At 59.7% G+C, this 27,394-nt stretch overlaps 1 protein-coding gene and 2 long non-coding RNA genes across 16 annotated transcripts in view, besides 16 other annotated features; 1 reads left to right on the forward strand and 2 right to left on the reverse strand.

Moving 5' to 3' along the window:
• The window catches only part of CD81-AS1 (CD81 antisense RNA 1), a 49,244-nt gene extending 41,944 nt beyond the window's left edge, over positions 1-7,300 (reverse strand). The window contains exon 1 of the long non-coding RNA NR_108080.1: positions 6,894-7,300. This is a non-coding gene — a long non-coding RNA (CD81 antisense RNA 1). The remainder of the gene's footprint in view (positions 1-6,893) is intronic.
• Positions 783-4,709, reverse strand: LOC105376520 (uncharacterized). The gene is made up of 2 exons (XR_930983.2): positions 4,607-4,709; positions 783-2,553 (listed from the first exon to the last, which is right to left on the reverse strand). It is a non-coding gene; the product is annotated as an uncharacterized LOC105376520 (long non-coding RNA).
• Positions 4,605-5,363: an enhancer, noted in NCBI's record as "H3K4me1 hESC enhancer chr11:2396527-2397285 (GRCh37/hg19 assembly coordinates)". NCBI's record gives its function as "activates a minimal SCP1, AML or CMV promoter by ChIP-STARR-seq in naive H9 embryonic stem cells {active_cell/tissue: H9 hESC(naive)}" and the evidence as "EXISTENCE:reporter gene assay evidence [ECO:0000049][PMID:30033119]".
• CD81 (CD81 molecule) lies at positions 5,488-26,705 on the forward strand. Of its 14 annotated transcripts, none has more exons than NM_001425129.1 (9): positions 5,488-5,665; positions 6,129-6,228; positions 19,720-19,834; positions 23,403-23,500; positions 24,280-24,354; positions 24,724-24,828; positions 25,177-25,278; positions 25,936-26,022; positions 26,112-26,705. In NM_001425129.1, the coding sequence occupies exons 4-9, from the start codon at positions 23,435-23,437 to the stop codon at positions 26,172-26,174; spliced, it is 498 nt and encodes a 165-aa protein (NP_001412058.1). In that variant the 5' UTR covers positions 5,488-5,665; positions 6,129-6,228; positions 19,720-19,834; positions 23,403-23,434; the 3' UTR covers positions 26,175-26,705. The 14 variants fall into 14 exon arrangements, with proteins under 14 accessions (NP_001412058.1, NP_001284578.1, NP_001412064.1 ...); XM_047427933.1 differs by lacking the exons at positions 5,488-5,665; positions 6,129-6,228 and adding exons at positions 7,444-7,555; positions 15,863-15,947; XM_047427934.1 differs by lacking the exons at positions 5,488-5,665; positions 6,129-6,228 and adding exons at positions 13,917-13,990; positions 15,863-15,947.
• Positions 6,290-6,729: a silencer, noted in NCBI's record as "silent region_3065". NCBI's record gives its function as "represses an Ori minimal core promoter by ATAC-STARR-seq in GM12878 lymphoblastoid cells {active_cell/tissue: GM12878}" and the evidence as "EXISTENCE:reporter gene assay evidence [ECO:0000049][PMID:35858748]".
• Positions 7,150-7,349: a silencer, noted in NCBI's record as "silent region_3066". NCBI's record gives its function as "represses an Ori minimal core promoter by ATAC-STARR-seq in GM12878 lymphoblastoid cells {active_cell/tissue: GM12878}" and the evidence as "EXISTENCE:reporter gene assay evidence [ECO:0000049][PMID:35858748]".
• Positions 8,469-9,450: an enhancer, noted in NCBI's record as "H3K27ac-H3K4me1 hESC enhancer chr11:2400391-2401372 (GRCh37/hg19 assembly coordinates)". NCBI's record gives its function as "activates a minimal SCP1, AML or CMV promoter by ChIP-STARR-seq in naive H9 embryonic stem cells {active_cell/tissue: H9 hESC(naive)}" and the evidence as "EXISTENCE:reporter gene assay evidence [ECO:0000049][PMID:30033119]".
• Positions 9,451-10,433: an enhancer, noted in NCBI's record as "H3K4me1 hESC enhancer chr11:2401373-2402355 (GRCh37/hg19 assembly coordinates)". NCBI's record gives its function as "activates a minimal SCP1, AML or CMV promoter by ChIP-STARR-seq in naive H9 embryonic stem cells {active_cell/tissue: H9 hESC(naive)}" and the evidence as "EXISTENCE:reporter gene assay evidence [ECO:0000049][PMID:30033119]".
• Positions 12,358-12,467: an enhancer, noted in NCBI's record as "active region_4296". NCBI's record gives its function as "activates an Ori minimal core promoter by ATAC-STARR-seq in GM12878 lymphoblastoid cells {active_cell/tissue: GM12878}" and the evidence as "EXISTENCE:reporter gene assay evidence [ECO:0000049][PMID:35858748]".
• Positions 12,858-12,917: an enhancer, noted in NCBI's record as "active region_4297". NCBI's record gives its function as "activates an Ori minimal core promoter by ATAC-STARR-seq in GM12878 lymphoblastoid cells {active_cell/tissue: GM12878}" and the evidence as "EXISTENCE:reporter gene assay evidence [ECO:0000049][PMID:35858748]".
• Positions 16,098-16,167: a silencer, noted in NCBI's record as "silent region_3067". NCBI's record gives its function as "represses an Ori minimal core promoter by ATAC-STARR-seq in GM12878 lymphoblastoid cells {active_cell/tissue: GM12878}" and the evidence as "EXISTENCE:reporter gene assay evidence [ECO:0000049][PMID:35858748]".
• Positions 16,688-16,737: an enhancer, noted in NCBI's record as "active region_4298". NCBI's record gives its function as "activates an Ori minimal core promoter by ATAC-STARR-seq in GM12878 lymphoblastoid cells {active_cell/tissue: GM12878}" and the evidence as "EXISTENCE:reporter gene assay evidence [ECO:0000049][PMID:35858748]".
• Positions 17,243-18,216: an enhancer, noted in NCBI's record as "H3K4me1 hESC enhancer chr11:2409165-2410138 (GRCh37/hg19 assembly coordinates)". NCBI's record gives its function as "activates a minimal SCP1, AML or CMV promoter by ChIP-STARR-seq in naive H9 embryonic stem cells {active_cell/tissue: H9 hESC(naive)}" and the evidence as "EXISTENCE:reporter gene assay evidence [ECO:0000049][PMID:30033119]".
• Positions 17,243-19,192: a biological region, named in NCBI's record as "nonconserved acetylation island sequence 93 enhancer".
• Positions 17,687-18,656: an enhancer, noted in NCBI's record as "nonconserved acetylation island sequence 93". NCBI's record gives its function as "activates a minimal heat-shock promoter by reporter assays in Jurkat T cells {active_cell/tissue: Jurkat}" and the evidence as "EXISTENCE:reporter gene assay evidence [ECO:0000049][PMID:17135569]".
• Positions 18,217-19,192: an enhancer, noted in NCBI's record as "H3K4me1 hESC enhancer chr11:2410139-2411114 (GRCh37/hg19 assembly coordinates)". NCBI's record gives its function as "activates a minimal SCP1, AML or CMV promoter by ChIP-STARR-seq in primed H9 embryonic stem cells {active_cell/tissue: H9 hESC(primed)}" and the evidence as "EXISTENCE:reporter gene assay evidence [ECO:0000049][PMID:30033119]".
• Positions 18,547-18,726: an enhancer, noted in NCBI's record as "active region_4299". NCBI's record gives its function as "activates an Ori minimal core promoter by ATAC-STARR-seq in GM12878 lymphoblastoid cells {active_cell/tissue: GM12878}" and the evidence as "EXISTENCE:reporter gene assay evidence [ECO:0000049][PMID:35858748]".
• Positions 23,947-24,006: a silencer, noted in NCBI's record as "silent region_3068". NCBI's record gives its function as "represses an Ori minimal core promoter by ATAC-STARR-seq in GM12878 lymphoblastoid cells {active_cell/tissue: GM12878}" and the evidence as "EXISTENCE:reporter gene assay evidence [ECO:0000049][PMID:35858748]".
• Positions 24,137-24,316: an enhancer, noted in NCBI's record as "active region_4300". NCBI's record gives its function as "activates an Ori minimal core promoter by ATAC-STARR-seq in GM12878 lymphoblastoid cells {active_cell/tissue: GM12878}" and the evidence as "EXISTENCE:reporter gene assay evidence [ECO:0000049][PMID:35858748]".

Below are 27,394 nucleotides of genomic sequence, written 5' to 3' on the forward strand. Positions count from 1 at the left end.
TTTAGAGTAGTCTCAGAATTGTGCAACCATCACCACTGCCTACTTTTAGAACATTTTCAACATCCCAAAGACAGAACCCCGTAGGCACCTGTTAGCAGCCACTCCCCACCCAGTCCACGAAGCCCCAGGCAGCCACTCACCAATCTACTTTCCATTAATTTGCCCATTCTAAACACTTGAAAAAAATGGTATCACAATGGTCTTTTGGGTTTGGCTTCTTTCCCTCAGCATCATACCCTCAAAGTTCATCCATGTTGTAGCTCGTATCGGTACTTCATTCATTTTTATGGCTGAATAATATTCCACTGTATGGATAGACCGATATTTTGTTTATTTATTTATTCATTGATGAACATTTGAATTGTTCCCACTTTTTAGCTATTAAAACTAGTGCTGGCTGCGTGCAGTTGCTCATGCCTGTAATCCTAGCACTTTGGGAGGATGAGGCAGGCGGATCACTTGAGGCCAAGAGTTTGAGACCAGCCTGGCCAACATGGTGAAACCCCCATCTCTAATAAAAATACAACAATTAGCCAGACACGGTCATGCGTGCCTGTAATCTCAGCTACTCAGGAGGCTGAGGCAGGGGAATCTCTTGAATCCGGGGGGCAGAGGTTGCAGTGAGCCAAGATCGCGCCACTGCACTCCAGCCTGGGCAACAGACCAAGACTCTGTCTCAAAAAACAAAACAAAACAAAACAAAACAAACCAGTACTGCTATGAACATGCATGTGCATATTGTTATACAGACATATGCTTTCATTTCTCTTGGATACACACACACACACACACACACACACACACACACACACACACACACGTATATCTAGGACTGGAATTGCTGATTTTTATGGAAACTCTATATTTAGCATTTTGAGAAACGGCCAGTCTGTTTTCCGAAGTGGCTGCACTATTTTGCATTCCCACCAGCAATGAAGGAGGGTTCCAATTTCTCCATACCTCTGCCAACACTTGTTATTGTCTGTCTCTTTTATTTATAGCCATCTTGATGGGTGCATCGTGGTATCTCGCTGTGTTTTGATTTGCATTTCCCTGATGACTAATGATGGGGACATCTTTTCATGAGCTTATCGGTCATATGTACATCTTCTTTGGAGCAAGCTCTATTCTAATCCTTTGCCCATCATTAAAGGTAGGTGGTTTGTCTTCTTGTTGATAAGTTAGAGTTCTTTACATGTTTAGATACTAGTCCCTTATCAAATAGATGATTCACAAATGTTTGCTGTCATTTCTTGGGTTGTCTTTCCACTTCCTTGATGGTGTCTTTTCACGCACAAATGTTTTTAGCTTTGGCCAAGTCCAATTTATCTATTTTTTCTTTTGTTGCCTGTGCTTTTGGTAGTGTATATTAAAAACCATTGTTTAACACAAGGTCACCAAGATTTATTCCTATGTTCTTTCCTAAGGATTTTATTTTTTCTTTTCTTTTTTTTTCTTTTTTTTGAGACAAAGTCTCTCTCTGTCGCCAAAGCTGGAGTGCAACGGCACAATCTCAGCTCACTGCAACCCCTGCCTCCTGGGTTCAAGCGATTCTTCTGCCTCAGCCTCCCGAGTAGCTGGGATTACAGGCGCCCACCACCATGCCCAGCTAATTTTTGTGTTTTTAGCAGAGACATGGTTTCACCATGTTGGCCAGGCTGGACTCAAACTCCTGATCTCAGGTGATCCACTCGCCTCGGCCTCCCAAACTGCTGGGATTACAGGTGTGAGCCACTGCGCCTGGCCTTCCTAAGGATATCATAATTTTAGTGCTTACATTTAGGTCTACGATCCATTTTGAGTTAATTTTTGTGCACAGCATGAGGTAGGGGTCCAACTTCATTCTTTTGCACATGGATATCTAGTTGTCCCAGCACCATTTTCTGAAAAGACTATTCCTTCCCCCATTGAATTGTCTTGGTACCCTTGTCAAAAATCAACTGATGGCCGGTCTGAAGGTAGTGAGTTATCTCAATTGATTGTTCACAGTCAGTTACAGATGGAACACCTCGTTCTACTCTTTCCCGCCTTCTCACTGCTGCACTTGAACAGTCTTTAAAAAAATCAATTGACCATAAATGCAAGGATTTGTTCTTGGAGTCTCAACTTTACTGCATTGATCTGTAGGTCTATCCTTATGCCAGTACCACATTGTCTTGATTACTGTAGCTTTGCAGTAAGTTTGAATCAGGAAATGTGAGCCCTCCGGTTTTGCTCTTCTCTTTCTAGATTGTTTTGGCTATTCTGAAACCCTTGTATTTCCTTATGAATTTGAGGATCAGCTTGTAAAAAGACAGATGGGATTTTGATAGAGATTGTGAAGCTATAGATGAATTCGGGAGTTTGGCCATCTTAACATTATGTCTCCTGATCCATGACTGCAGGATATCTTTCCATTTAATTCGATACTCTTTGATTCCTTTCAAAAATATTTTGTATTTTTCAGTACACAAGTTTTATGCATCTTTTGTTGCATTTATTTCTAGGTATGTTCTTTTTGCCAATATTATAAATGAGATTGTCTTCTTCACTTCATTTTTGGATGGTTCATTGCTAGTGTATAGAAATAAAATCGATGTTTGTATATTGATCTTGTATCCTGCCACATTGCTATGCATGTTTATTAGTTTTAAGGGTTTTAGTGGATTTTCTATATATAATGTCATATAATCAGCAAATAGAAAGTTTAATGTCTTAGTCCTTTTGAGCTGCCACAACAGACTACCATAAACTGAGTGGCTTATAAACAACACAAATGTATTTCCCACAGTTCTGGAGACTGGGATGTCCAAGATCAAGACACCCGTAGGTTTGGTGTCTGGTCGGGGCCTACTTCTGGGTTCATAGATGACTGTCTTCTCGCTGTGTCCCCCCCATAGTGAAAGGAAGGGGCCCAGGGTCTTTCTAAGGCTTCTTTTATAAGGACACTAATCCAATATAGGAAGGCTCTGCCCTCATAACCTAATCTCCCAAAGGCCTCACTTCCAAATTCCATCACCTGGGGAGTAAGAATTTCAACACTGGGGGGACACAGATATTCAGACATAGCATTTTTCTTCTTCCTTTCTAATATGGGTGCCCTTGACATCTTTTTCTTACCTAATTGCCCTGCCAGAGCCTTCCAGACAGTGTTGAATGGAAGTGGGGAGCATTCACCCCACCTTACTCCTGATCATAGGGGAAGAACTATCCGGCTTTCACCACTGAGCACCACGTTAGCTGGGGTATTTTTGTCAGCGCTCTTTATCAGGTGGAGGCAGGTCCCTTCTATTTCTAGTGAGTTCAGTGCTTTTTTTTTTTTTTAATCAGGGAAGAGTGTGAGCTTGTGTTTGGGTGCCTTCCCTGCGTCTGTTGAGATGATCTTACGGTTTCTGTCTCTTATTCTATTGATATGGCGTATTTATTACCTTGGTTGCTTTTTGGATGTTGATAACATCCAAACTCTTCTGCCACCCCTTTTAATAGAAAGCTGTACAACTCCCCAACCTGCCTGGGCGTGTCTGCCCAAGATGAGTGCTAGTGGCCGACTCCCTGCTAGAGTGAGCACTGCATAAACAGCCTCTGCTTGTCCTCATTTGAGTGATCTTCATGTATTCCACGAGAAATCAAGGCACAGGGGTCTCATGGTCTCATGAATGGCTCCACCAACTGAAGGTGTGCTCCATCGGGGCTGTGAGTCACCTCACGCCAGGCAGAAAGGTCTCTCTGTCAAACATGGCTTCAAGGAACCAGGGACCTGGTTCCTCCCACAGGCCAGGCCCTGCCCCTAAGTGCAATGGGAATATATGCACATGTCACCTGTCCCAAAATGCTGGGAGATGGCACTTCTGCAGATGGGGAAACTGAGGGACCAGCCCGAAGTCACGGGGAGGGGAAGACTCCTACACACAGGGAGGAGAAGAACCCAGCCGGGCTGCAAACGCCTGCCCTTCCTCAACGTGCCTCCGGCTGTGCCCACATCGCTCCAGCAGCTCTGCCTTCCTCAGGCATAAGCCTTCTCAGGGCAGGGGAGGCCCAGGGAGCGGCGCTCCCATCCCAGGCCGGGCTGCTGAGCAAGCCCCTCCCCTTTCTCCCCTCATCCTCTGACAGAGTCCACCTGAATATTTGTCCTGGAGCCAGGATGGAAGCTCCACCAGGCCCAGCTAACAACAGGAACCCTTTCAGACGCACTTCTGGGTGCGTACTGTGCCAGTATCACACAGACACAAGCCATGTCCTTGTCAGCCATGGGATCCCCAAGGTCCCCATGAGGTCACACCAGTGGGCCACTGGGAAGGGCACTTCAGATGTGGAGCTCCCATGGGCCAGGCCCTGCGAAGTGGTCCTCCTACCCCCTCATAGCCAGTCTTCCCTGTGAGCCTGCAAGTGACTGTGAATGTGAGTTCCACTCTGGAGCTAAGACGGGCTGCTGCCCCCGCAATCAGATGTCAGGCCCATGAAGCCCTCCATCATCCCACTGCAGTCAGAATAAAATGCAGCCTCCCTCTGGCCTCCAGGTCCCAAGGCCAGCCCCCCTGCCTCCCAGGCTCACACCTGCCCCTAACCTGTGTCCAGCCCCTTTCCCCTGGCTCTGTCTCCTGCTTCCCTTGTGTTCCTCCAACCTCACCTGTCTGTCTGGAGTGCTCCTCCCCGGCTCTGCCTAGCTGGCTCCTTCTCAGGCATCAGGGCCTGGATCCACTGTGGCTCTTCCAAGCCTCTGCACTTGGAGTGCCTCAGCCCCGTGGTTGAGGAGTGCCCCAACCCTGTGACCCTCTAGCAAGCATCCTAGGAATTCCGTCCCTCCCCAGCACTGATATGACCATCGTGCTGTGACACGTGTCATCTCCGCCAGAGTTGCAGATCCTCCAGGGGAGGGGTCTGCTGCCTGGCTCCCACAGCCAGGGCCTGGAACAGTGCCTGACACACAGCAGGCACCCACTAAATATTTGATGCATGGCTGAAGAGGACAGGCAGGCTGGCTGCTGGCTGGGCATGGCCTGCTTCTGAGGCTGGTGGTCAAGGACACAGTGTGCATGGATCTGCCCCCTCCTCCCACTTCCTGAGAGTGGAGCCAGTGTCTCCCTCCACCTACCACCCCCTGCTGAGGACACAGCTCACACCTTTAACGGGAAATGTCCCCATCACTGGGGACAGCAGGGAGCTGATGGGAGAGCAGGTGTCCAGGACATCCAGAGAAATGTTTCCTCACACTGGAACCCTTTTCTATTCCCTTCTAAACAAAAAGAATCCTCGAAGACTCTCAAGTGACCATATAGTGTCTTTTCTTATAATGTCACTTCGACAGGCACAAAATGTAAAACCAGGCATAAACTACTAGTGCTTGCAGTTCTTACGCAGGCATGAAGCCAAAACCAGTTTACAAATTAACCACCAAGAAAACCGGTAGAGCACAGATGATGACGATAGAGCTGTTTTGTCCAATGTGAGCGCTACTGGCCACCCAGGGCCATGTGAATTTAAATTACGATGAAACACAATGAAAAATTTGGTTCCTTGTGGCCACATTTCCAGTACCCAGTAGTCATCTGTGCCAGGGGGTTATCCAGGTACAGAACATTCCCATCGTTGCAGAAGGTTCTATCAGCTAGCACTGGGTTGGACGACACTTGCCAAGACGAGCTGGCTAGAGGATGGTTCTCCGGACCTGGTCCCACGTGGTTCCCAGGTAAGCCCCCGCCCAGGATGCAGCCCCGTTGTCCATCAGTTTTCTTGGAGAGGGCATGGGAAACCTTCGTCAGTGTGTCATCTCCTGCAAAGGCCTTCGCTCCTTCCTCTGGGGAGAAAGCACCCTTCACTCTCTGAATCATTAGCCCAAAGCAGTAAGTGCAGCAGGCCTGGCCCCACACCTTCCGGAAGAGCCACGGTGTGAGGCTGGCATCCCTGGGGCACGACACAACCAGGATGTAGACGAAATAGATGCAATATCTGGAGGTTCTCCTATAGGTGTCTCTGGCCTCCTGGACACTTCACACTGTTCTGGGAGCTGCCCTCTCAGGCCCCAGTGACCTTTTCAGATGCAGACTCCCACAGCATGGGTCAGCAATTCTCCCCTTCCGTGAGACAGGGATTGGTTACCTGTACTAGGACCTTGAGGCCAACACTGACTAGGGGGCCTCATGCCTGCCCAGGTTCCAGCCCCGGAGAGCAATGTGAGCAAAGCTTGCTGTCTTTGCAAAGCCAACCACTGTGGCATCAACTCCTTCAGGAAGCCCTCCCGGATTGTCCAAGGTGCTCACCTCCTTTGGGGAGCCCTCCCAGATTGTCCAAGGTGCTTGAGGGAGGGAGGAATGGGTTGTTCTCCCGGCACCGGGGCTGCACTCCTGGGCAGACGCTGCATGCCTGTCCTCAGGCGCGGCCCTGCTGCCACCCCCTTGGGGGCTCGGAGCGCGACAGCAGCTTGGGGACGCCTCCCGCGCCCAGCACGGTGCACCTGGGCCCTGAGGTCCTGGCCGAAACGCGCCAAGTTGGGGGTAGGTGCAGCGACCCCATACCCCTCGGCTGCGCGCCCTGGCGGCAGGAGGCGGGGCCGGGGGCGGGGCGTGAGCTGGCCGGGGCGGGGCCTATGGAGGGGCGGGACCGCGGCGCCCTATAAGTACTGCGGAGCGAGGCGCGCGCCCGGCCAGAGAGCGAGCGCGCAACGGCGGCGACGGCGGCGACCCCACCGCGCATCCTGCCAGGCCTCCGGCGCCCAGCGCCCCACGCGCCCCCGCGCCCCCGCGCCCCCGCGCCCCTTTCTTCGCGCCCCCGCCCCTCGGCCCGCCAGGCCCCCTTGCCGGCCACCCGCCAGGCCCCGCGCCGGCCCGCCCGCCGCCCAGGACCGGCCCGCGCCCCGCAGGCCGCCCGCCGCCCGCGCCGCCATGGGAGTGGAGGGCTGCACCAAGTGCATCAAGTACCTGCTCTTCGTCTTCAATTTCGTCTTCTGGGTAAGGGCTGCGCCGGGGGCCGGGGCGGGAGGGGGCAGGCACACACTCCACGTTGGGCAGGTCCCGCGGCAGCGTGCTAGGCCCCGCGGGCGCAGCGCGGGCCGCGAAGTTGTGGGGCCACCTGTGGGCTCCAGGAGCGGGGTGGGGGGTCGCCCGGGGCCACCGCGCCCCCCGACATTGGGGCTGAGGGCTGCGAGCCGAGTTTCGGGGCCTCTGTGCTCGGGGGCCCACCTCTGCGGCCGGGCCGGGGCTTCTGGGGGCCGCCGGGCAGTTCCCGCTGTGGTGGTGATGGGTGCGGTGGTCGCGGGTCGGGACCCGAGTACCCGGCCGCCCCTCAGCTAAGGAGGGGCCTGCGCGGGTCCCTGGCCGCGGATTCCGGACTGCTGCTTCGCGGGGACGAGGGGGGGGCTCGCGGGCGGGACTCCTGGCGCCCCGCCCCCATGAGCTCATCAAGAGCCGCCGCCCCTGGATGGTGGGGCGGGGGCGCACACTTTGCCGGAGGTTGGGGGCGATCCGCCTCACTCTTTCCCCAGCCCAGCTCACTCTCCAATCTGCGGTCACCACCCGAGACCTTCCTGGGGGTCGCGCCTAAAAGGAGCGCAGACTCCCGCCGGGATGGCCCAGAAGCTGGGGTGCGCGCACCCTGGCCGTCCCTGCCTGGGAGCCGATCTCCCTCTCCTCACCCAGACACGTTCCAGCGGAGGCCTCCTCCCAGAAGGGCTCTGGAGGCCTCGCAGGAGTGGGGATCCCGCGGTTCTGAGTTGGCACAAGGAAGAGAGTGGCACCAGGGGCCTGGAGTGGATGGCAGGGTCCGGGAGTGGGGCCGCTGCTTTGCAAGAGGGGCCCCCACGCTGGGCATCTTTGGGTGCCAGCGTGGGTGGAGGAGGGTCTTTTGCTGAGAATGGCTTTCTCCTGACCGCAGTCTTTGCTGCTGGGAAGTGACTGATGGGCTTTCGCCTTTTGTTTCCATTTCCTGTCGGTGTTAGAATTGGGGAGGGGGTGGAAATCCCTTCTTGGCCTGGAAGGACTGGAGTGGGTGTCCATGGCCGCGGCCTCCCCGTGGCCACGCCCCTGGGCATAGACTGCAAGCCCCTCCCCGTGCCCCCCAGGCTGTCACCCCCTTCTCGTGGAAGACTCGGCTGATGTCCCAGTGGACCGAGTGTTTCTCAAGTTGAGGCAGGGAGGGCAAACTTTTTAAATGGCCCCTGGAGCCAGTGTGTGGGACCAGAGACATCTGTTTCCCATCTGGACGGCTGAGGATCCCAGTGCGGATGATTATTTGGAGGGGGAAGGACGGAGGCTGAACTGAACTCTCAGCTGGGAGATGAGTGGGGCAGTCACATCCCACCTTCCCCAAGCCGGGCTGTTCTGCACAGCCTGCTTGGGACGCTGGTGGGAGTCACTGTGGCCTTCGGCACTGCCCTGGCAGTGGGGGCAGCTAGGCCATTTGGGAGGGGCTCGCCTTCCCCAGGCCCGGCCCTGGGACCTCAGCCGTTGCTTAGTGGTGGCCTGCTTCAGCCCAGGCATGTGGGAGAGGCACCAGACACAGGATGTCCCTCTGCCAGCCCCTGAAGCCCCGTCCCCTGACGAGGCGAGTGTGGACCTGGGGGTGGGGGCTGAGGGAGACTGTGGACCTGGGGGTGGGGGCTGAGGGAGGGTGTGGACCTGGGGGCAGGGGCCGAGGGAGGGTGTAGGCCTGGGGGTAGTAGGGGCTGAGGGAGAGTGTGGACCTGGGAGTAGGGGCTGAGGGAGGGTGTAGGCCTGGGGGTGGGGGCTGAGGGAGAGTGTGGACCTGGGGGTAGGGGCTGAGGGAGAGTGTGGACCTGGGGGTGGGGGTTGAGGGAGGGTGTGGACCTGGGGGCAGGGGCTGAGGGAGAGTGTGGACCTAGGGGCAGAGGCTGAAGGGGAGTCACGGGAGGGGACTTCTCCGGAGGTGGATTTTTGCTCTCTGGACGGTGTGTCAGCACTGGGTGAGCCCCTCCTGCCTGCCCAGGCTGAGAGGTCTCCCTGGCAGCCCCCTGGGAGTGTCGCCAGGGCGGGCCTGGAAGTTTCCCAGGCAGCTGGGGTGGAGACCTGACACATCCCAAGGGTGCTTGTTATTAAGGCTCAAGGAAATGTCTCTGAGGCCTCACCGCTCCTCTCCCCAGGGCCTGCTCCCTGCAAAGCATTGAGAACTGAGTCCGTCCACAGTCACTGTGGACCCACCCATCCACTGGGGCTCAGTGGTAGCCAGCAATGCCAGGCTGGGTGAGGTGGGGTTGGTGGGCACCACCCTGGTGGACCCCCCTCCACCCTGGTGTCGCAGGGTGTGTGGCTGAGAGCACAGTGCCATGGGCTTGGGCCTCCTTGGTGGAGTCCCCAACACACTGCTCTGGTCCTGGGCCTCGGCCTTCCCCGTCTGCAGTGGGGGCCCACAGTGAGCCTACCTCCTGGTGGTGTTGGTGGATTTGCTGACATGCCTGAGTGTTGACAGGGGGCTTGGTGCAGGAAGGGCTCAGGGCGTGGGTGTTGGCCAGGGGTCCAAAGGGACCTCTGCCTCAGAGAGCCCAGCCCAGACAGGCAGGATGTGCAGTGGGGAAGGGGCTGCGGGAACCCTGCAGGGTCCAGAAGGACACAGTGCAGTCCTGTGGGCTCTGGGGAGGCTGGTGGGGAGGAGGTTGACAATGGATATCTGGGTGGGGCACTTGTTAGAAGTTCCATTTTAGAGAGGAAAGAGGCCTTGCCTGTGGGAGAAGGCAGCTGGGGTAGCCTGACCTCTTTCCCAGGAAGGAGCCCACACACACACGCACAGGCACTCACACACACGAATGTGCACACACACACACTCCCACCTTCACACACACTCACACTCTTGCTGTCTCCCTTCCCAAGCCAAGGTGCGAGGGGGAAGGTCTGGGCAGCATGCACCTGCGCCCTGACCGCTTTGGGGGCCAGTGAGAACTGGGCTCCCTGGGTGCGCGGCGGGCCCAAGCAGGGAGGACATTGCAGATGCCCTGGCCAAGCAGCGTGGAAATCCTGTCCCTTGGGTGGGTCTCGGAGCCTCCATCAGAGGCGGCTGGCACCTGAGACCCACCTGCTGCCAGGAGCAGGGCAGGAGAGTTTGTGTCCCGGGACAGGGAACTGGCCTGTGGGAGCCTTGCCTTCCTCATCTGTGTAATGGATATAAGAGTCTTCTCCTCGGGGGCTGGCCAGGGAGTCCAGAAGAGGTGTCACCAGTCCCCGCAGGGAGAAGAGCGGTGTCCCCCGCCTGGGACTGGCTGCTCCCCCAAGCTAATGCAGCTGGTAGCCACCTCCCAGTGGCAGGGCAGCCAAACCCGGCCGGGAAAGAGACTGATTAGAAGCCTCGCTCACGGGTATTTCTCGCTTCCAGACAGCACATGACTGTCATTTGGCACGTCTTTCGCCGTCCTTCCGGGAGAGGGGCTGCAACCCTGGCAGGCGCTGTGGGGGAGGGGGCTAGGACATCCTGTGCCTGGTTTCACCAAGTGGGTGTGTGGACTTTCCCTGGCTCCCCCAGGCTGTCTGGCTGCACAGCTTTGGGGAAACGGCCACTGGGTCAAGCGGGCCGAGAAGAGGAAGTCTGTGGTTTGTCTCTGCTACAGACTGGCCCCAGTGAGGCTGTCCAGCAGTGCAGGGCACAGAGCAAAAGCAGGGAGGTATGGGCCTACTTCCCCGGTCGCCCCTGTGGCTGGCTGTGGCTCTGCCGGGTGCTGACAAGTCACTCGCCCTCCCTGCGGTCACCAGGGTGCATGCCCGAAAGCCCTCCATTCTTTCCTGGGTTTGAGGGTCCTTCTCCTGCACCCACCCCAGCGCCCAGTTCAGCTCAACTTTCAGAAATCTGGTTCACCCCCAATCCCTTTCTCATAACTGCTTCCAAGCCCAGACAAGGAGACAGACCCCAAAAGATCCCTACCCCTATTTCCGCACCTGAAATCGCACCACGGGAAGAGCTTTGCTCATAGAGTCAATAAGGCTTAGAGTCCAGGCGCCTGTGCGAGGGAGCAGGTCATCACCCTTGTACCCACCGTGGTTTTAGACAGGACCCTGAGGTTGGGGTGGGGCTGGGGCTGGAGAGGAGCCAGGTGCCCTGCCCCTTGCTTGGGCCCCGTGTCCCTGTGATCCAGGCTGGGCGTGCTATGGGTGCTGGGTGATATTCCAGCCCTGCAGGTGTCCGCCTTGTTCCCAGCACCCCTCTGGGCAAGAAGAACCAGGCTCTCCCAGAAATGGGCTTCAGTGATCTCCACTTCCAAGTCGTCCCCACCTGCCTTGTAGGACACAGTGGTACCTGGTATGCTGGGCAGCCTTCCAGGAACCTCTGGACTTACTCAGTGTCCCCCAGCCCTACACACCATTCTTTGTGTTTCTGGGCCCAAACTAAGCCCCCCAACCTGGGCTGCAGAGCAAGTGCTGAATCATGAGAGACCCTTGAGGGTCCTCCAGGTAGGCCCCCAGTGCTGGAGGAGTCCCCTCAGGCAGGGGGCCACGCCCAAGGGTGTGGAAGGTCAGCTGGCAGCCGGATCTCACTTTTGGGGCTGTAGGCTTCCTGCACTGGCCGCCAATGCCATGGCCGTGGGATGGCCAGGATAAGGCATCTGCCCCCCACCCCCACCCCCCGCACAAGGTCTTTGAGGGCTGCGGGCTCAAGGAGTTGGCGGTAGGGCTGGGGGACCAGGGGCACAGAGCTTGTAAGCGCCTCTCTCCAGGATGTGGGTGGCCCAGCAGGGGAGCTTTGAGAGTCCAGGTGTGAGATTCCAAATGCTAGGGGCCTGAGAGGAGGGAGCCACCAGCTTGGCCAGAGCCTGGTGGATCACGCCCCCACCACGCCTTGCCCTTCTCTCTGGTCATGTGCTCTCCCACCACGTTTGGAAAGTTACTGCTTCCCTCTTCCTCAGCCCCTCGGGCTCCCAGTTATGGAAGTGGCGTGATTCAGAGAAGGTAAAGGATGGGAGGGAGAGGGCTGGGTGATGGGGGACCCCGCAGGGCGCCCTGTGCTGTTACATGGAGCTCCAGGATCAGGGCAGGTGGGCAGCCTGGGGTCCTCACTTCTCTCCCCAGCCAGGCCAGGTCCCTCACAGCCCTGCCAGGAGCATGATATCCGCTGCGGTGCAGAACTAATCTCAAAGCTCAAACCCAGGTAACAGTGTAGGTAAAACAGATGACAGGGCATGAGACTCACCCCAGGACAGGCGAAGGACCCAGGCCGATGGGGGCCCAGAACAGTCCTGATCCTGGAGCTCCTTCCCGAGTGGGACCCCAGGGGTTTCCGAGGGGCTTAGAGTAGGGCTTAGAGGCTTAGAGTAGGGCTAGGGACTTCCTGGCTTCCCTGCCTCGGGAACAGCTGGTCCTGGAAGGGGCTTGGTCCTCGGGGCACTGGTGCCCACCACCCCTGATGCCTGGGAGACACCAGCATCCTCTGAGCATGTGTGCGTCCTCCTGGTCCCGAGGGAAGTGACTCCTCACATCCCCCAGCTGGCGGGGCCAGAGGGCCAGCATCCTCGCCTGACACCTATTTTTAGATGCTGAGACAGGCGGCTTCCTCGGGGCCAGGGGCCCTGTGAGTGGAGCTTCCGCTTCCTGGCCTAGGAGAGAATTCCTGCTCCTCTTCCCTCCATGCTGCCTTTTCGCCCCTGGAGGCCACAACGGGGTCAGAGGGGCAGCTGCTCACCACCTAGGAGGGCCTGAGAGGGCCCTACGTCACCCAGGGAGGAGTCTGGCCCCGTCCCCAACCTCCACACCCAGGCCTGGCACTGCCCCTTCTTGGTGGGCAGAGAGTGAGGGGTTGGCCTGCAGGGACCCAGGCTGGAGGGGCCGTTCACCTCCGGCCCCCAGCGTCCCTTCCTGGAAGCACCTTGGTGAGCCCCTCCCCTCCTTCACCCAGTATCTCCAGGGGTACTTCCTCCTTTCCTTCCTGCCTCAGGGCCTCACTGTCCTCCTGGGGAGGGTGTCTCAGGCCCCAGCACCTCCCAGTGGCTGAGCCGAATGGGCACTTCCCGGTGTGTTTCCCATATGTGCAGTCCCTAGGTGTCGGTGAGCAGGCACAGAGCCCGCAGCGTGGCCCTGCCTGGTGGACCCCCTCCCCAAGAGCATCAAGGGAGGGCCTGGACTAGAGACACACAGATGCCCAGCCTGTACGTAAAGGCGGGTGAGCTGATGTACCATCGTCCTCGTCCCCCACTGGGGTGCCTGGGCAGGACTTGGGGTGACCACTTGGCCCGTCTGGGTGGGGGTAAGGTATGGGTGGGGCGACCAGATCCCTGCCCTTTCCTGCAGCTGTGGGGGTGTGTGTGCTGGCCTGGAGAGCTCCCACCCGAAGTTCTGGCTCCTGGCTGTCCGGGGCCTGCGGGGGCAGCGAGCAGCTGGCATGGGTAGGGGAGCTGACCTAGGCCTGCCCGGGCAGCGCCTGCTGCCTTTTGCTCCCTTTCAGCTGCTTCTTGGAAACAGCGGACAGGCTGGGCAGGAACCCAGTGTGCTTGGCAGCCCCCCTTTTAAAGTCGATTCTGTTATTTATTAATTCCCAGGAAGGAGAAAGAAAGAAACAATCCTTCATAGAGTACAAACACTGCTTTTAGTAGCCTTGCAAGGAGCCCTCCAGGAACCCCACAGGTTACCTGGGCTCCATCCTGAGAGCCACCCTCCATCCCCAATCCCCAGCAGAGCATCTTGTGGGGTGGGGCGGCTTGTGGGGCGGGGCGCCTTGGGAGGCGGGGTGTCTCGGGAAGCGGGGCGTCTCGGGAGGTGGGGTGGCTTGTGGGGTGGGGCATTTCCTGGGGTGGGGCGTCTCGTGGGGTGGGACAGCTTGGGGGGTGGGGCATCTCGGGAGGCGGGGCGTCTTGTGGGGTAGGGCGGCTTGTGGGGTGGGGCATCTTGTGGGGTAGGGCGGCTTGTGGGGTGGGGCATCTTGTGGGGTGGGACGGCTTGTGGGGTGGGGCATCTCGGGAGGTGGGGCATCTCTGGGGCCCGGCCACTTGGGAGGCGGGGCATCCTGGGGGCGGGGCATCTCAGAGGGCGCCTCCGGAGGCTGGAGTATCTTGGGAGGTGGGAGCAGGTGGCAGAGAGGCTTCCCACAGGTGAGCTTTGAGCAGGGAGGTGCCTGTATGGATGGCTCTGTGGGGAGAGGGGTGACAGGAGTTCCAGATTCCGGCACTTATGAAACCTCACAGTGATGGAGAGCCGAGTGCTGCTGTGCAGGCTAAGTTGTGTGCATGTCAGCTTCTGCACTTTTATTTCCTTGTTTGTAGACAAGGCAGAGAGAAGCTGAGATGGGCCTGAGGTCGCCTTGGTGAAAGGCACTCAGCAGCCAGGGCCTTGGGCTGCCCTCCCTCATCACCGTGAAAGCGGGACTCTCTTTTAACTGACATCGGGCTCCATAGTTACTCCAGTCCTAACTTTGATGGATCCTAAAAGTGCACTTCTAAGGACGCGGCTTCGGTGTTTCCCATGCCGCTGCTTGCCCCTGGGAAGCGTTGGCTCTGCCTCGGAAGAAGTTAGCGCCAAGATGGCAGCCTGGGGTCTTTGGGGCCCAGAAGAAACACTGGCCCCGGGGAGTTCAGTCATCAGGGACTTAGGATGTGGGGGCTTTTCAAACAGCTTTATTTAGACGTGATTGACACACAGTAAATACAGATGTTTAAGGGTACAACTTGGTAAGTTTTGACAAATTTATACCCCCGTGAAACCATCACCAACTCCCCAGGTGCCCCTGGGGCCCTTGGGATCTCTGCTTCCTGCCCCTCCTCCCCGTCCCAGGGCAACCACGGGCCGTCGCTGTGGGTGCACACAGCATGCATTTCTTCAACAAGCGGACTCAGAAGGCACTTGCACATCGTTGCTGTTCTGCCTCTTTGCTTCAGCATGATTACCCAGAGGCGCACCCGTGCCGTGGCCTGCCCGTCGTCTATGCACCCGTGCTGTGGCGTGCCCGTCGTCTGTGTGGCATGCCTGTCTGTGCACCCGTGCTGTGGCGTGCCCGTCGTCTGTGTGGCATGCCTGTCTGTGCACCCGTGCTGTGGCGTGCCCGTCGTCTGTGCACCCGTGCTGTGGTGTGCCCGTCGTCTGTGCACCCGTGCCGTGGCGTGCCCGTCGTCTGTGCACCCGTGCTGTGGTGTGCCCTTCGTCTGTTCCTTTTATTGCCGGGCAGGGTTGCACCCACATGTGCAAGCCAGCGACGGACCCCAGGTTCACCCGTTCACCGGTCAGTGGGCATATGGGTTGTTTCAGTTTGGGGCATTTACAAGAAACGTGCTAGAACATTTGTGTACAAGTCTTGTGTGAACCTAAGTTCATTTCTCTTGGGTAAATACCTGTGCGTGGAGCAGCTGGGTCATGTGGTGAATGTGGGTTTCACTGCTTAAGCAGCAGTTTTACATAACTGCCAAACTGTTATTCAAGGTGGCTGGACCGTTTTACAGCCCCCGTTGTATGCGTCCCAGTTGCCTCCCCCAGCAGCATGTGGTGTGGTTGGTCTTTTTCGTGGCAGCCAGTCCACTGGGTGCGCTCGGCATGTGGCTGCAGCTTGACCTGGGTTTCCTGGTCCCTGGCAAGGTGGAGCATCTCTTCATGTGCTTTTTTGCTGTGTGTGGATCTTGCGGGGAAGGGTCTGTTCCTGTTTTTTGCCCATCTTTCAAAGATTGGGTTGCCAGTTTTCTTGCTGTTGAGTTTGGAAAGCTCTGCATACGTTCAGGGCACAGGTCCTTTACCAGGCTCTGCCCCAGGTCTTTCGGAGAGCAGGTGTCTTTCGCATTCCTGACTCTGGGGAACCTCTAGCCCTGCCACATGGGGTTTGTTATGGGGCAGGGGCACCTGTGCCTTTCCCACCACGGGGCTTGGGGATTTGGTGCTGCCATTGCCCTCCCTCGTAGGTGGCCCTAGGGGGGTCCCTCCGCCTCCGTTTCCTCATCCAGAAACCGGCAGTGACCATCACCACCATTGTTGTCACCTAGCTCCAGCTCAAGGTCCCTGCTGAAGGTCGGAGAGCTTGGCATGGCCCCGTTTGTCCATGCTAGGGCTGGGAAGACCAAGGCTCAGGTGAGGCCTCTGCCCAGTGCCTGGCACTCCTTCTTGCCCCATTTTTCCACCCAGGGTGGCTCCCGACTACTTCTGGTAGCCTCGGGGACAGTTGAGGTGGACAGGCTGGCGTCACCCCCATTTCCGGCTGTCCCTCCCACCCCCTCCTGGCCCAGCTGTTCTGCCCTATTAAAAGTCACATGGGCCCTCGGGTCCTTCCTGGTGTTGGCCCAGGCTCTTTCAGGCCCTGCAGGCCAGGACCAGCCTTCCCTGCAACCCTCGGCAGAGGCCTGGGGCCGGGGCTTGTCTAGGGGCAGCCTCCCCATACGGCCCTGGAGTCTGAACAGAAGCCCCTTCCCAGAGCACAGCAAGAAGCTGCAACGTGGCCTGAAGTCCCACCATTAGCAGGTTTGGGGTTTAGGCTGAGCTTTGCCATCACTACCTTTCTGTTAGGACGGTATGCCCATTAGATGGGATCATCCCCTCAGCGCCCAGGCTAGAGGAGGGGTGGTCCCTGCCCAGCCAGGGAGGGCTGGGGGTGGATGGGCCTCTACAGAGCAGCTTCCGAGCCAGGCACGGTTCCATGATCAGCTCTGTTTTATAGAGGGGGACACTGAGGAACCGGGAGCCTGGGGACCTTCCAGTGGCCCCACAGCTCCTGTGGCTGAGTCAGGGTTTGTCACCAGGCCTCTGTGGGGATGAGGCTCCCCCATCCACCTGCCCCACTCTGTCCTGGAACAGCTCTCAAAACGGTCTCTGGACCACAGTTTCAAAAGAAAATAAGCAATGTTTTCAAAGGCCCTGGAGGAAGCCAGAGTTACCACGGCAACTCTCGGCCTCGCCACCTCCTCCCGCCAGGCTGCATCTGGAGCCAGCTCAGGAGGGCAGCAGGGTGAGGACAGCCAGGCTCTCTGGGGCCACCCCCCAGCCCCCACCCTTCCTGCCTCTCCTGCACTGTCCACGGCCCTCCCTGTGCTCCCACGGGTATAATGGGCACAGAAGAACCAGGAGCTGTCTGCCCCTGCAGGATTCTGGAAGCCAGGGGCCCCTGGCCTCCCTGGGGCCTTGTCATGTGAGGGGCACACGTGGGGTCCCAGCTGCCACATGGCTTCCAGCGCTGCCCGCAGGTGTATGTTGGGCCCTTGGTGACTCTAATGCACCTTCCACTCGGCACAGAAGAGCTTCAGTCTGGGGCCTGGGCGGGGGAAGTAGGCTGCCATCCTCGCTAAACCAAAGTGTGAAAATTGAGTTGAAACTCCCATAGGAGGGCAGGAGGCACAGCTCCTCAGAAGAAGGTCTGAGAAACCACAGCCCAGGTTGTTGTTTCGGGTGTGTGGAGAAGGTGCTCTGGCAGTCCTGCTACAGGGGGACCATCAACAGCCCCTTTGGGGTGAGAGCCCCGTGGCTGCTGGCACCAGCAGCCCCTATGAGGCTTATTTTATTTTTGAGACAGGGTCTTGCTCTGTCACCGAGGCTGGAGTGCAGTGGCACAATCATAACTCACTGTAGCCTCAACCTCCTGAGCTCAAGCGATCCTCCTGCCTCAGCCTCCAAAGGTGCTGGGATTACAGGCGCTTGCTACCACGCCCAGCCCCCTCTGGCCTTATTGTTTGCCAGGCCCAGCTCAGGTCCCGGAGGAGGGGAGACAGGAGTGTGAGGGAAAGGGGGAAGAGGTATAGAGCCCCCAGCTCCTCCACCCACCCGAACCCTCACCGAGGCCCTAGACCCTAGACCGGCCTGACCGGGGGGTCCTCAGGCCGGGGACTTGGGTGCAGGCCATGGTGCTGGGGCCTGAAGCTCACGCTCTGCTGAGCACAGCCCCCTGCCCAACCCCACCCTGGGGCCCTGCTTCCCTGGCCAGGGCCATTGGAACAGGAGTGGGGCTGTCCAGGTGGTGTTCTTGGGTCCAGCCCTCAGTTTCTCTTCTGCAGTTGACCGGCAGCCCTGCATCTGTGGTGGGGTCGGCGCCTGGTGCTGGTGAGGCAAGGCCTCAGCTGCTGGGACAGGACCTGCCTGGCACCCAGCTGGTGGCAGAGCCAAGCATTCCGACTCAGCTCTGGGAGCAGCTGCCTTCTGGGCTGGCATTCTCCGCCAGGGGGGTTGTGCCCTCGTGGCCCCCCCCGGGTGCCTCCTCACCTGGCTGATTTCATCTCCTGTCCCCCTGCCTCCTCCTCCAGGAAGCCCCCAGGGCCTGGCCCTCCTTGAGAGTGGCATGGAGGAGGAAGAAGACTCGCCCAGGCCCATGGGAGTCGGATGGTGGCCGCACTTGTGGGGCCCTGACCCCATAGGCTTCTTCAGCACGCCCTGGCCTGGGTGATCCCTGCCTGAGGGCTGTGCACGGCTCATCTGCCAGACCAGATTTTAGGGGATTCTTGTACTGTCCTCCTGGAGCAGCAGGGGGTAAAGCCTGACCCACCCAGACTGTCCAGCAACAAGGGCCTCCTGCTGTGGGCCAGGGACCCTGGAACTGACCAATTGTGTCCTAGGGACGCAGAGTCCCCAGGCTGCTAGAGGGCTGTGGGGCCCTGTTTCATGCCTGAAGCAGGAAGAAACCCCAGGAGAGGTCTGAAGGGGACCCAGCCCCCACCCTGTCTAGCAGGGAGGAGCCTCTGCAAGAGGCCGAGGGGTGCTGAAGTGGAGGAGGATAGAGGCAGCAGGACTCAGGGTCACTGGTCATTTATGGGGATCACACGGCTGCAGTGTGCCCTGCATGGTGCTAGGCACCAGGGACAGCAGAGGACAAGCCTGTGTCCTCTCCCACCACCAGAGGGCTGGGCACTGCCCCTAGGGAGAGAGGGGGCCTTGGTGTGTGCAGAGGGGGGCCTGGGGCACGTGCCTGGCCTGGTCAGATGATCAGAGTGGGCTGGGCTGGGCCTGGTCTGGGGCCCAGTCTCAAGGGCAGACCCCACCTGGCTAGAGTTGATTGTGTGCACACCGGATGACCCGGCGTTGAAGGCCTCTCCTCTCTGTGAGCCTCATCCCCACCTGCCAGACTCCCAGCACAGCCTGCTTCCTGCCCCAGCTGCTGAGCGACAGCGCTGGGCCGGCTTCTGCGCGCCCCTTCCCCCAGCCCATCTTGGAAACCACAGCAGCGTCCTTCCTCCCAAGTCCCTTCCCAGGGCTGACATCCCACAGCAGGGATGTATCCCACAAACCCCGCAGGCCCTGGTGCCTACAGCTTGGCCTGGTAACATCAAATCCTACCCTCTCCTCCTGGCAGCAAAGATGGGGTGCCCCCACCCCAGAGTTCTCAGCACCCCCAGACAGAAGCAGTCCCCCAGCGACCTCAGAACTCTTGGGGCGCTGCCACACCCTTGCAGGAGGGGGCAGTGTTCCTGGGATGCTCAGGTCCTGGTATCACCTCTGGCCAGATACGGAAGGTGAAACTACAGGGCATCCAATTCACCTTGAACTTCAGATAAACACCAGATTATTTTTTTGTATGTCCCGTGCAATATTTGGGACACACTTACCCTAAAGAAGTATTCTGTTTTCATCTGAGAGGCAGATTTAACCGGCGTCCCGTGTCTTCCTGGCAGTCCTGCCCTGGAGTCACACTCCACAGGTGCAGGGCAGGGCCAGGCTCCAAGTAGATGGCGGCCAAAGCACCCGCCCCATGCTCCTGACTCCCGGGGCTCTTCAGGGCATTGCGAAAACCAGCAGCAGAGCTGACACCTGGTCCCTGCTCGGGAGCCAGCAAGGCAGGAGGCTGCTTAGGCCTTGCGTGTGGGGTGGGCGCACTCCCTGCTGCAGTGCTCTTCGTACATGTGACACTGTTCCCGCTCTTTCCCAGCTGGCTGGAGGCGTGATCCTGGGTGTGGCCCTGTGGCTCCGCCATGACCCGCAGACCACCAACCTCCTGTATCTGGAGCTGGGAGACAAGCCCGCGCCCAACACCTTCTATGTAGGTGAGTGCACATGTGGCCGCAGACGCATTCAGGGAGGGCTTCTAGGAGGAGGCAGGTCCTAGCCTTTTGGATGGGGACATGGAGGGTGAAAGACAGTCGGGCATGGCGTGTCCGGGCAGGGAGGCGGCCCTGGAAAGGGCTCTGGGCACAAGGGTTGAGATGGAGGTGGGCCTGTGGCCTGCTGGCCCTTCTGGTCTGAGCCAGGGCAGGGGGTGGCAGCTAGGCCTGGGCAGGGACTGTGTGGAGACCTTGCTTATTTTAAGTGTGGGGTTATTTCGGGGGAGGCTCCCTGAGAAGGGTGGGGCTGGATGCCTGGGCCACACAGAGCAGCCGAGGCAGCTGGCGCTGTGGAGCCCGGGAGGGAGGGAGGGATGGAGCTCAAGGGATGGAACCCAGTGAGGGGTGGAGACGGGGCAGGGGAGGGGTGGAGAGGGGTGGAGACGCCCCAGAGGCGGTGTGACTCAGCTGCCCCTGCAGGCAGCTGCACCTTGCTGCCTTATTAGGCTGCGTGTGGGGGACTGGGCTGCCCTCCCTGCCCCCAGGAGCAGGAGCAGGAGTGATGGAGGAGGAGGAGGGGAGGGGCAAGGCCAGGAGGAGGAGGAGGGCCATCTCACTGTGCAGAGAGCAGCACCCTTCCTCCTGGTGCCCCTGGCAGGGCTGGTGCTGGTGGGGCTCTGGGAGCATTTGTTGAGATGCTTCTGGCCTTGAAAGGAGGCCCCTGGGATGGCTCTGTTGCCCTCACAGGCTGAGGGGTGGGTGAGGTGGGCAGCCTGTGTGTCCCCAGTCCTCAGGGCTTCCCTCAGCCGGCAGGTGCCCCCAGGCCTGGAGCTGCAGGGCCAGGCCCCCTGCCAGTTACGGAGGCTGCTTGGCTTGGTTGCTGAACCAGGGCCCCAGGAGGCCGAAATAGCCCCACACCTGCGCCGTCCCACCTCTTTGTCCAGTCACCCCAGGGCCAGGTGAGGGCCCTGGCCACACAGCGTGCCCGTTCCTTCTTCCCCATGCCCCGCTCATGGGTCAGAGGGCCGGTGCTGGGGTCCAGATGGTGTCAACAGGGATGGTCCCTGTCCTCCCCAGAGACAGAAGCCTGTGGCCCACGGAGGGTTTCTGGGCCCAGCCGATCCTAGGGAGGGTCCCATGGCCCTGCCCATAGGTTCCTGGCCTCTCTCGGGGCCGTGGTGCCCTCACAGGTGGTGTCAGGAAGGACGGGAAAGGCTGCTTGTCCCAGGGGCTCATGTGGAGACCACCCCCTGCACGCAGCTGGGGCGCTCCTGCCTGTGTCCTCAGAAGCACTCGGCTTAGCTTTGCCCATGTGCCTGGGCTGTGGGTGGCAGAGCCCGGCCAGCATCCTCCGATCTCCAAGGGTGCATCTCTACTGGAGGCCCCTCCTGGGCCTCTTGCTCCCCGCTTCCCAGATCATTAGGATATTTGGGGTCCAGAAGGGCCTCCCAGCCATCCTGGGCCTTGTCCTCCGGGGCCACCAGTCCAGCCAGTGACAACCACAGCATCCCCGGCCTGGAACGAGGCTGCCCCCAGCACGTTCCTCGTACTCCTGTCCAGGGACAGGAGGGGCTGCCCCTGCCACCGAGTCCCCTTCTCCAGGACCTGGGGCCTGTGGGTGTGAGGCAGGTGTTCTTGGAAGGGGTCACTCTCCAGGCACCCGGCGGCCAAGGCTTGTGGCTGGAGCAGCTCCCGCTGTGGGGTCGGCGTCGGGCCCCGTGTGGCCGGAGAGGAGCTGAAGGGTCACTTAGCTTCGGGCTGGGGCGAGGACAGGGGACACCCCAGAGAGGTATGCCAGGCCTCCTTCCTGCGCCCCACTCTCGGCAGAAGCAGAGGTCACAGGCTGTGCTGAGGCCCCATGGTGCTGCCCCCATGATGCCAGGGTGAGGCTGGCGTTGGAAGCAGGTGTCTGACCTGCATGGTGTCACCGTGGCCACATCAGAGCTCCAGCCCCAGAGCCGCCCACCCTCGGTCCTTGGCTGTGGTTTCCCTGGGCTGGAGGAGCCTGCCGTTGTGTTGGCCACACGACCACAGGACCTGCCACCCCCGACGTGGGCTCTGCCTGGGCCCCCACTGGACAGGGACCCCTTGGAGCTCCTCTGGCCACCAAGTCCTCGCCCATTCCAGAATCGGCCTTCTGGAGCCTCTTGCTGTCCCTGATGCGGGCTGGGCCTTGCCAAGGGCTTTTTTTCCTGCGCCGGGAACAGGGTGGATTTGCTGGGCTCACTCCCCTCAGAGACGCTGCGGGTGCGGTGGGTTAGGCCCAAGGGCGTTAAGAGAGGAGGCTGGGGTGGGGCTGGGGCCTGGCAGGGGGTCTGGCAGCCCTGGGCCTCCCACCTCCTGTCAGGACCAAAAAAGGCAACGCGCCTCTCCTGACCTGTACCCCGGAGTGAACCCAACCTTGCAACCCAGGAGTGTCAGGGCCTGAGGGGAGGGAGACCTGGCTCCTGGGTGCCGTGCCCGTAAGGAGGTGGCCACCTGCAGGGCATTCCTGGCAGAGGCTTCATCTGGCCAGGTAGGAGGCTGGGTGGCCGAGCCCCAAATCTGGGTGTGTTCTCTGCCTGGCGGTGGGTCCTGCCCCAGGCACCTTCTCCTCTGGGCTGGCTGGGCAGGGACAATGGGCCTGGCTGCGAGGAGGGGGCCTGGGCTGCCTTCTGCATTGCCTCGGTGACGGGAGATGGCCCCTGCCTGCTGAGGGATAGGGGAGTGGGCAGGCAGTGAGAGACACTGACAGCTGTCCCGCGGGTACAGGGCCCTGTCTGGGTGGCCAGGCCCATGTCTCGGGCCCACAGTGCGCCCCCCACCCTTGGACGGCGCCTTCTCCCTCCCCAGGTGCATGCTGCCCAGCCAGGGAGCGTGGGGGAGTTCGGGAGGGCTGGCCTACACGCCCTGGTCCAGCTGTCCCAGGTGGGGTGCTGGGCTTCAGCCCTCAGCCCAGGGCCTAGGAATCCAACTTGATCCTCCCCACACAGCAGCCAGGTTCAAATGCAGGTCCCGTAACGGAAGTGCTGCTGTGCAGCCCAGATTGGGGGGCAGGAGCCAGCAGGGCCCCCCCACCCTCTTCTCGCACCACACTGGGGAGGCAGCATTGGTTCCAGTTCCGGTTCCTGGGCTGCCCTCTCAACCCCGGCCTACAGTGGGGCCCACCCTGTGCCTTCTGATGCCACTCCCACCCCACGCCAAGTCCCAGAGGCTTTGGGAGCGGGTGAAGGCGGTGGGTGGCGGGTGGCAGGTGCAGGCGGTGGGTGGTGGGTGTGGCAGGTGGCGGGCCCCACCGCAGGTGTCATCCCTGCGAAGCACCTGTCGCCAGCACTCAGAGCGCTCATGAGGTGCCCAGTCCCCATGTGGCCTCCTTAGTCTCCGTCCTGTGTCATGGAAGAGGTAACTGAGGCACAGAAAACTCACCAGGCCAGGCTGGGATGTGAGGTCCCTTGCTGCTCATCCCTGGCAGTCAGCAACCCTACATCTTCCCAGCTGGGCGGCCCGTGGTGGGTTCGGCACCCAGGACCCTCCGGGGTCTTGGGCTGTGGCGAGTGTGTAGGCACCCACCTGGTGTCTCTCTCCCCGCAAGGCATCTACATCCTCATCGCTGTGGGCGCTGTCATGATGTTCGTTGGCTTCCTGGGCTGCTACGGGGCCATCCAGGAATCCCAGTGCCTGCTGGGGACGGTAAGGCAGGGAGGCGGGCCTGTGCCTGGGCCGGGGAGGGGCTGGGGGCTGCGTCTGGCCCTGAGGAGGGGGCAGAGCTGGTGCTCAGGGCGGAGCCTAGAATTCTGGGGGAGGTGGCTCCTGTGCCCTGCTTTTCCCGTTTGGTTTTTAAATTAAATCCCACCGTGCTTGGTCTCCATCGTGGCCAGTTCCTACGTGACCGCTTTTCTTTGTCAAAAAATAGCCACAAATATAACAGGGAGCAAGCCTCAGCTCTGAGGCCAGCCTCGGCGTCCCGGGCACACCGCCCCCTGTGGGAAGCCCAGGCCTGGCTGTGCCATCCAGGGCCTGGCCAGTCCAGGAAGAGGGAGCCTATGCCCGTGTCTCCAGTGGGGGAAACTGAGGCAGATCCCATGGCTCCCCCTTCCGTGGGGAGCAGGAACAAGGGGGTGGGGAAGATCAGTCAGGGGTCATGCTGCTGCACACGCCTCCCTGGGGGCTGCAGACATCCTGGACTCACCAGCCTGTGACCCCAAACCACACGCCCCGCCCCATCCACCCCGTCCTGTGGAGCCTGGTGCCGCGTGGGGACATCCTGGGCTTTGACGGCTCCTCCCTGCGCTGAGTTTTAGCCTCTGTGCCCCAGGGCTCCACACAAGCCGCTCACTCCTGGTCAGGTCGTGGGCTGGTGGCTCCCACTAGCCCCTCACAGACACGCCTGCTGGGCACCTGGGTGTGTGTCCTTGGGCCCCGCCTACAGCCTGCCCTCTTTCCTCCCTCTGGCCACTGCCCGGCTCCAGTTCTTCACCTGCCTGGTCATCCTGTTTGCCTGTGAGGTGGCCGCCGGCATCTGGGGCTTTGTCAACAAGGACCAGGTGAGCCTGGGTGTGCAGGGACAGGGTGGGGTGGGTGACGGGGGCACCCTCCTCTCCTGTCGCGGGTGGGGGTTGGGCTGACTCATGGCTTGTGGGAGCTCTTTGGGCTCTTCCTGGGTCCCACTTGCCAGGAGGATCTCCAGGGGCTTTATGGAGGAGGCAGCATTGGGGCTGAGCACCAGGCCAGCCTCCCGTGTCCCAGCACTCCCGGGGCAGCTGAGAGTGCAGAGTCCTTGTCCTCTGGGGTCTAGCCTCGAAGCCACCCTGCCCAGGGAGAGCCTGGGAAAAGTGCGTCCGCCTGGGGCGGGGCGGGGTGGGGGCAAGGAGGGGGAGGTTCCCCCTGTGCATGTGACCGCACCCCTCCCCCAGATCGCCAAGGATGTGAAGCAGTTCTATGACCAGGCCCTACAGCAGGCCGTGGTGGATGATGACGCCAACAACGCCAAGGCTGTGGTGAAGACCTTCCACGAGACGGTGCGGCCCCGGGGGGCGAGGGCGGGGAGCAGGGCCCCGGGAACCCGGCGGGGTGTGTCTCGTCCTGGATGAATCCTGCCTACGCCCAGACCTCAGGAGCAGGAGGTGCCCTTGGGACCTCCAGGACCCCTGGTCTCAACTGGTCCTCGGGTGGGAACCTAGTGGGCCAGGGTGGCCCAGGGTGCGGAAAGCTCTGAGCAGCGCAGCTGAGGAGGAAGAAGGCTGGCCCCTGGATGCATTCTGCAGTGGGGAGCGCTGCGTACCCCTGGCCACCTCCCCATGGGTTCCCTAGAGCCACCGTCCCCCTGGGCACATCCAGGGCTGACCTTGCACCCCTGCTCTCTGCAGCTTGACTGCTGTGGCTCCAGCACACTGACTGCTTTGACCACCTCAGTGCTCAAGAACAATTTGTGTCCCTCGGGCAGCAACATCATCAGCAACCTCTTCAAGGTGCGCGAGGCCGGTGGGGCCGCGCCTGACCCCCCGCATGTCCCGCCCCTGGGTGGGGTCCTAGGGGTGGGCAGGTCACACGGCAGCCCCACAGGGAGCGACCACACTGGGTGGCATGGCCCCTGTCAGGGCTGCTCTGCTGGGAGGGTTGGGGTGGGACCGCATCTGGCCCACGAGGAAGGCAGGCGCCCTGTGCTGCGCATTCCGGGTGAAGAAGGTGGAGGCTCTGGGGGGTGGGAACTCACCTGCACCCCCAGCTCCACGTGTGCACTCGTGGGTGTGGACGCCCCTGACAGCCTGTAGCTGGCAGGGCCTGCAGGCCATATAGTGCCCTGTGGAAGTTTCCTGCTGAGGCCTCAGTGGAAGTCGTCATCAGTGATGCTTTAGGGGTCTAGTGACACCAATGACCGTGATCTCAGTGGAAAAGGGCACAGTGTGTCCCAGGCATTTCGCGTTTATGTTAAAACGGGTGGAAGATAGCAAGCCGGCAGAGGCCGGGCCGCTGCACCCGCCTGTTCCGAGGTGGGTAGGGGGTGGGGGGCTGTTCCCAGGATTCCCCTCTACGCTTTCTGTGGTGACCACGGATTACTGCGTGACAACGGGAAGCCGGGAGCCGAGGCCCGGTCCCTGACCACGCGTGCCTGGCCACCCCTGCAGGAGGACTGCCACCAGAAGATCGATGACCTCTTCTCCGGGAAGCTGTACCTCATCGGCATTGCTGCCATCGTGGTCGCTGTGATCATGGTGAGCGGGCGGGGGCGGAGGGCCTGCTCTCTGGGCTGCCCCTTCCGCGGGGCCTTGTGCTGACTGCGCCCCCCACCACCCTCCTGCAGATCTTCGAGATGATCCTGAGCATGGTGCTGTGCTGTGGCATCCGGAACAGCTCCGTGTACTGAGGCCCCGCAGCTCTGGCCACAGGGACCTCTGCAGTGCCCCCTAAGTGACCCGGACACTTCCGAGGGGGCCATCACCGCCTGTGTATATAACGTTTCCGGTATTACTCTGCTACACGTAGCCTTTTTACTTTTGGGGTTTTGTTTTTGTTCTGAACTTTCCTGTTACCTTTTCAGGGCTGACGTCACATGTAGGTGGCGTGTATGAGTGGAGACGGGCCTGGGTCTTGGGGACTGGAGGGCAGGGGTCCTTCTGCCCTGGGGTCCCAGGGTGCTCTGCCTGCTCAGCCAGGCCTCTCCTGGGAGCCACTCGCCCAGAGACTCAGCTTGGCCAACTTGGGGGGCTGTGTCCACCCAGCCCGCCCGTCCTGTGGGCTGCACAGCTCACCTTGTTCCCTCCTGCCCCGGTTCGAGAGCCGAGTCTGTGGGCACTCTCTGCCTTCATGCACCTGTCCTTTCTAACACGTCGCCTTCAACTGTAATCACAACATCCTGACTCCGTCATTTAATAAAGAAGGAACATCAGGCATGCTACCAGGCCTGTGCAGTCCCTCAGTGCCAGTGGTGTCTGAGACCTAGGGGTTGGCCGGAGGGCAGGGGAATCTGACATCGGTGGGGCTTGGCTCTGTGGACTCTGTGGGGTCCAGGGTGAGGGTGGGTGGGTCGGGATCCCTGGTGTTCACCAAAGGAGTCACTCTGTAAAATTTGGGGAGTTATTTATTCTGAGCCAAATATGAGCACCGGTGGCCTGTGACACAGCCCCAGGTCCTGAGAACTTGTGCCCAAGGCGGTCTGGCTACTTAATTGTATACATTTTAGGGACATAGGACATTGATCATTACATCTAAGATGTACGTTGGTTTAGTCGGAAAGGTGGGACGATTTGAAGGGGAGGGACTTTCAGGTCATAGGCGGATTAAAAGATGTTCTGATTAATAATTGGTTGATTTTATCTAAAGACCTGAAATCAATAGAATGGACTATCTGGGTTAAGAGGAGTTGTGGAGACCAAGATTATTATGCAGATGAAGCCGCCAGATTGTAAATGTTTCTTATCAGACTTAAAAAGGTACCAGAATCTTAGTTAATTCTCTCCTGGATCAGGAAATAGACCTGGAAAGGGAGGGGGATTCTCTATAGAATGTAGATTTTCCCAAGAGACAGCTTTGCAGGGCCATTTCAAAATACATCAGAGAAATATATTTTGGGGTAAAATACTTCGG

The sequence above is a fragment of the Homo sapiens genome, chromosome 11 (genome assembly GCF_000001405.40).
Source record: "Homo sapiens chromosome 11, GRCh38.p14 Primary Assembly".
NCBI lineage: Eukaryota > Metazoa > Chordata > Mammalia > Primates > Hominidae > Homo > Homo sapiens.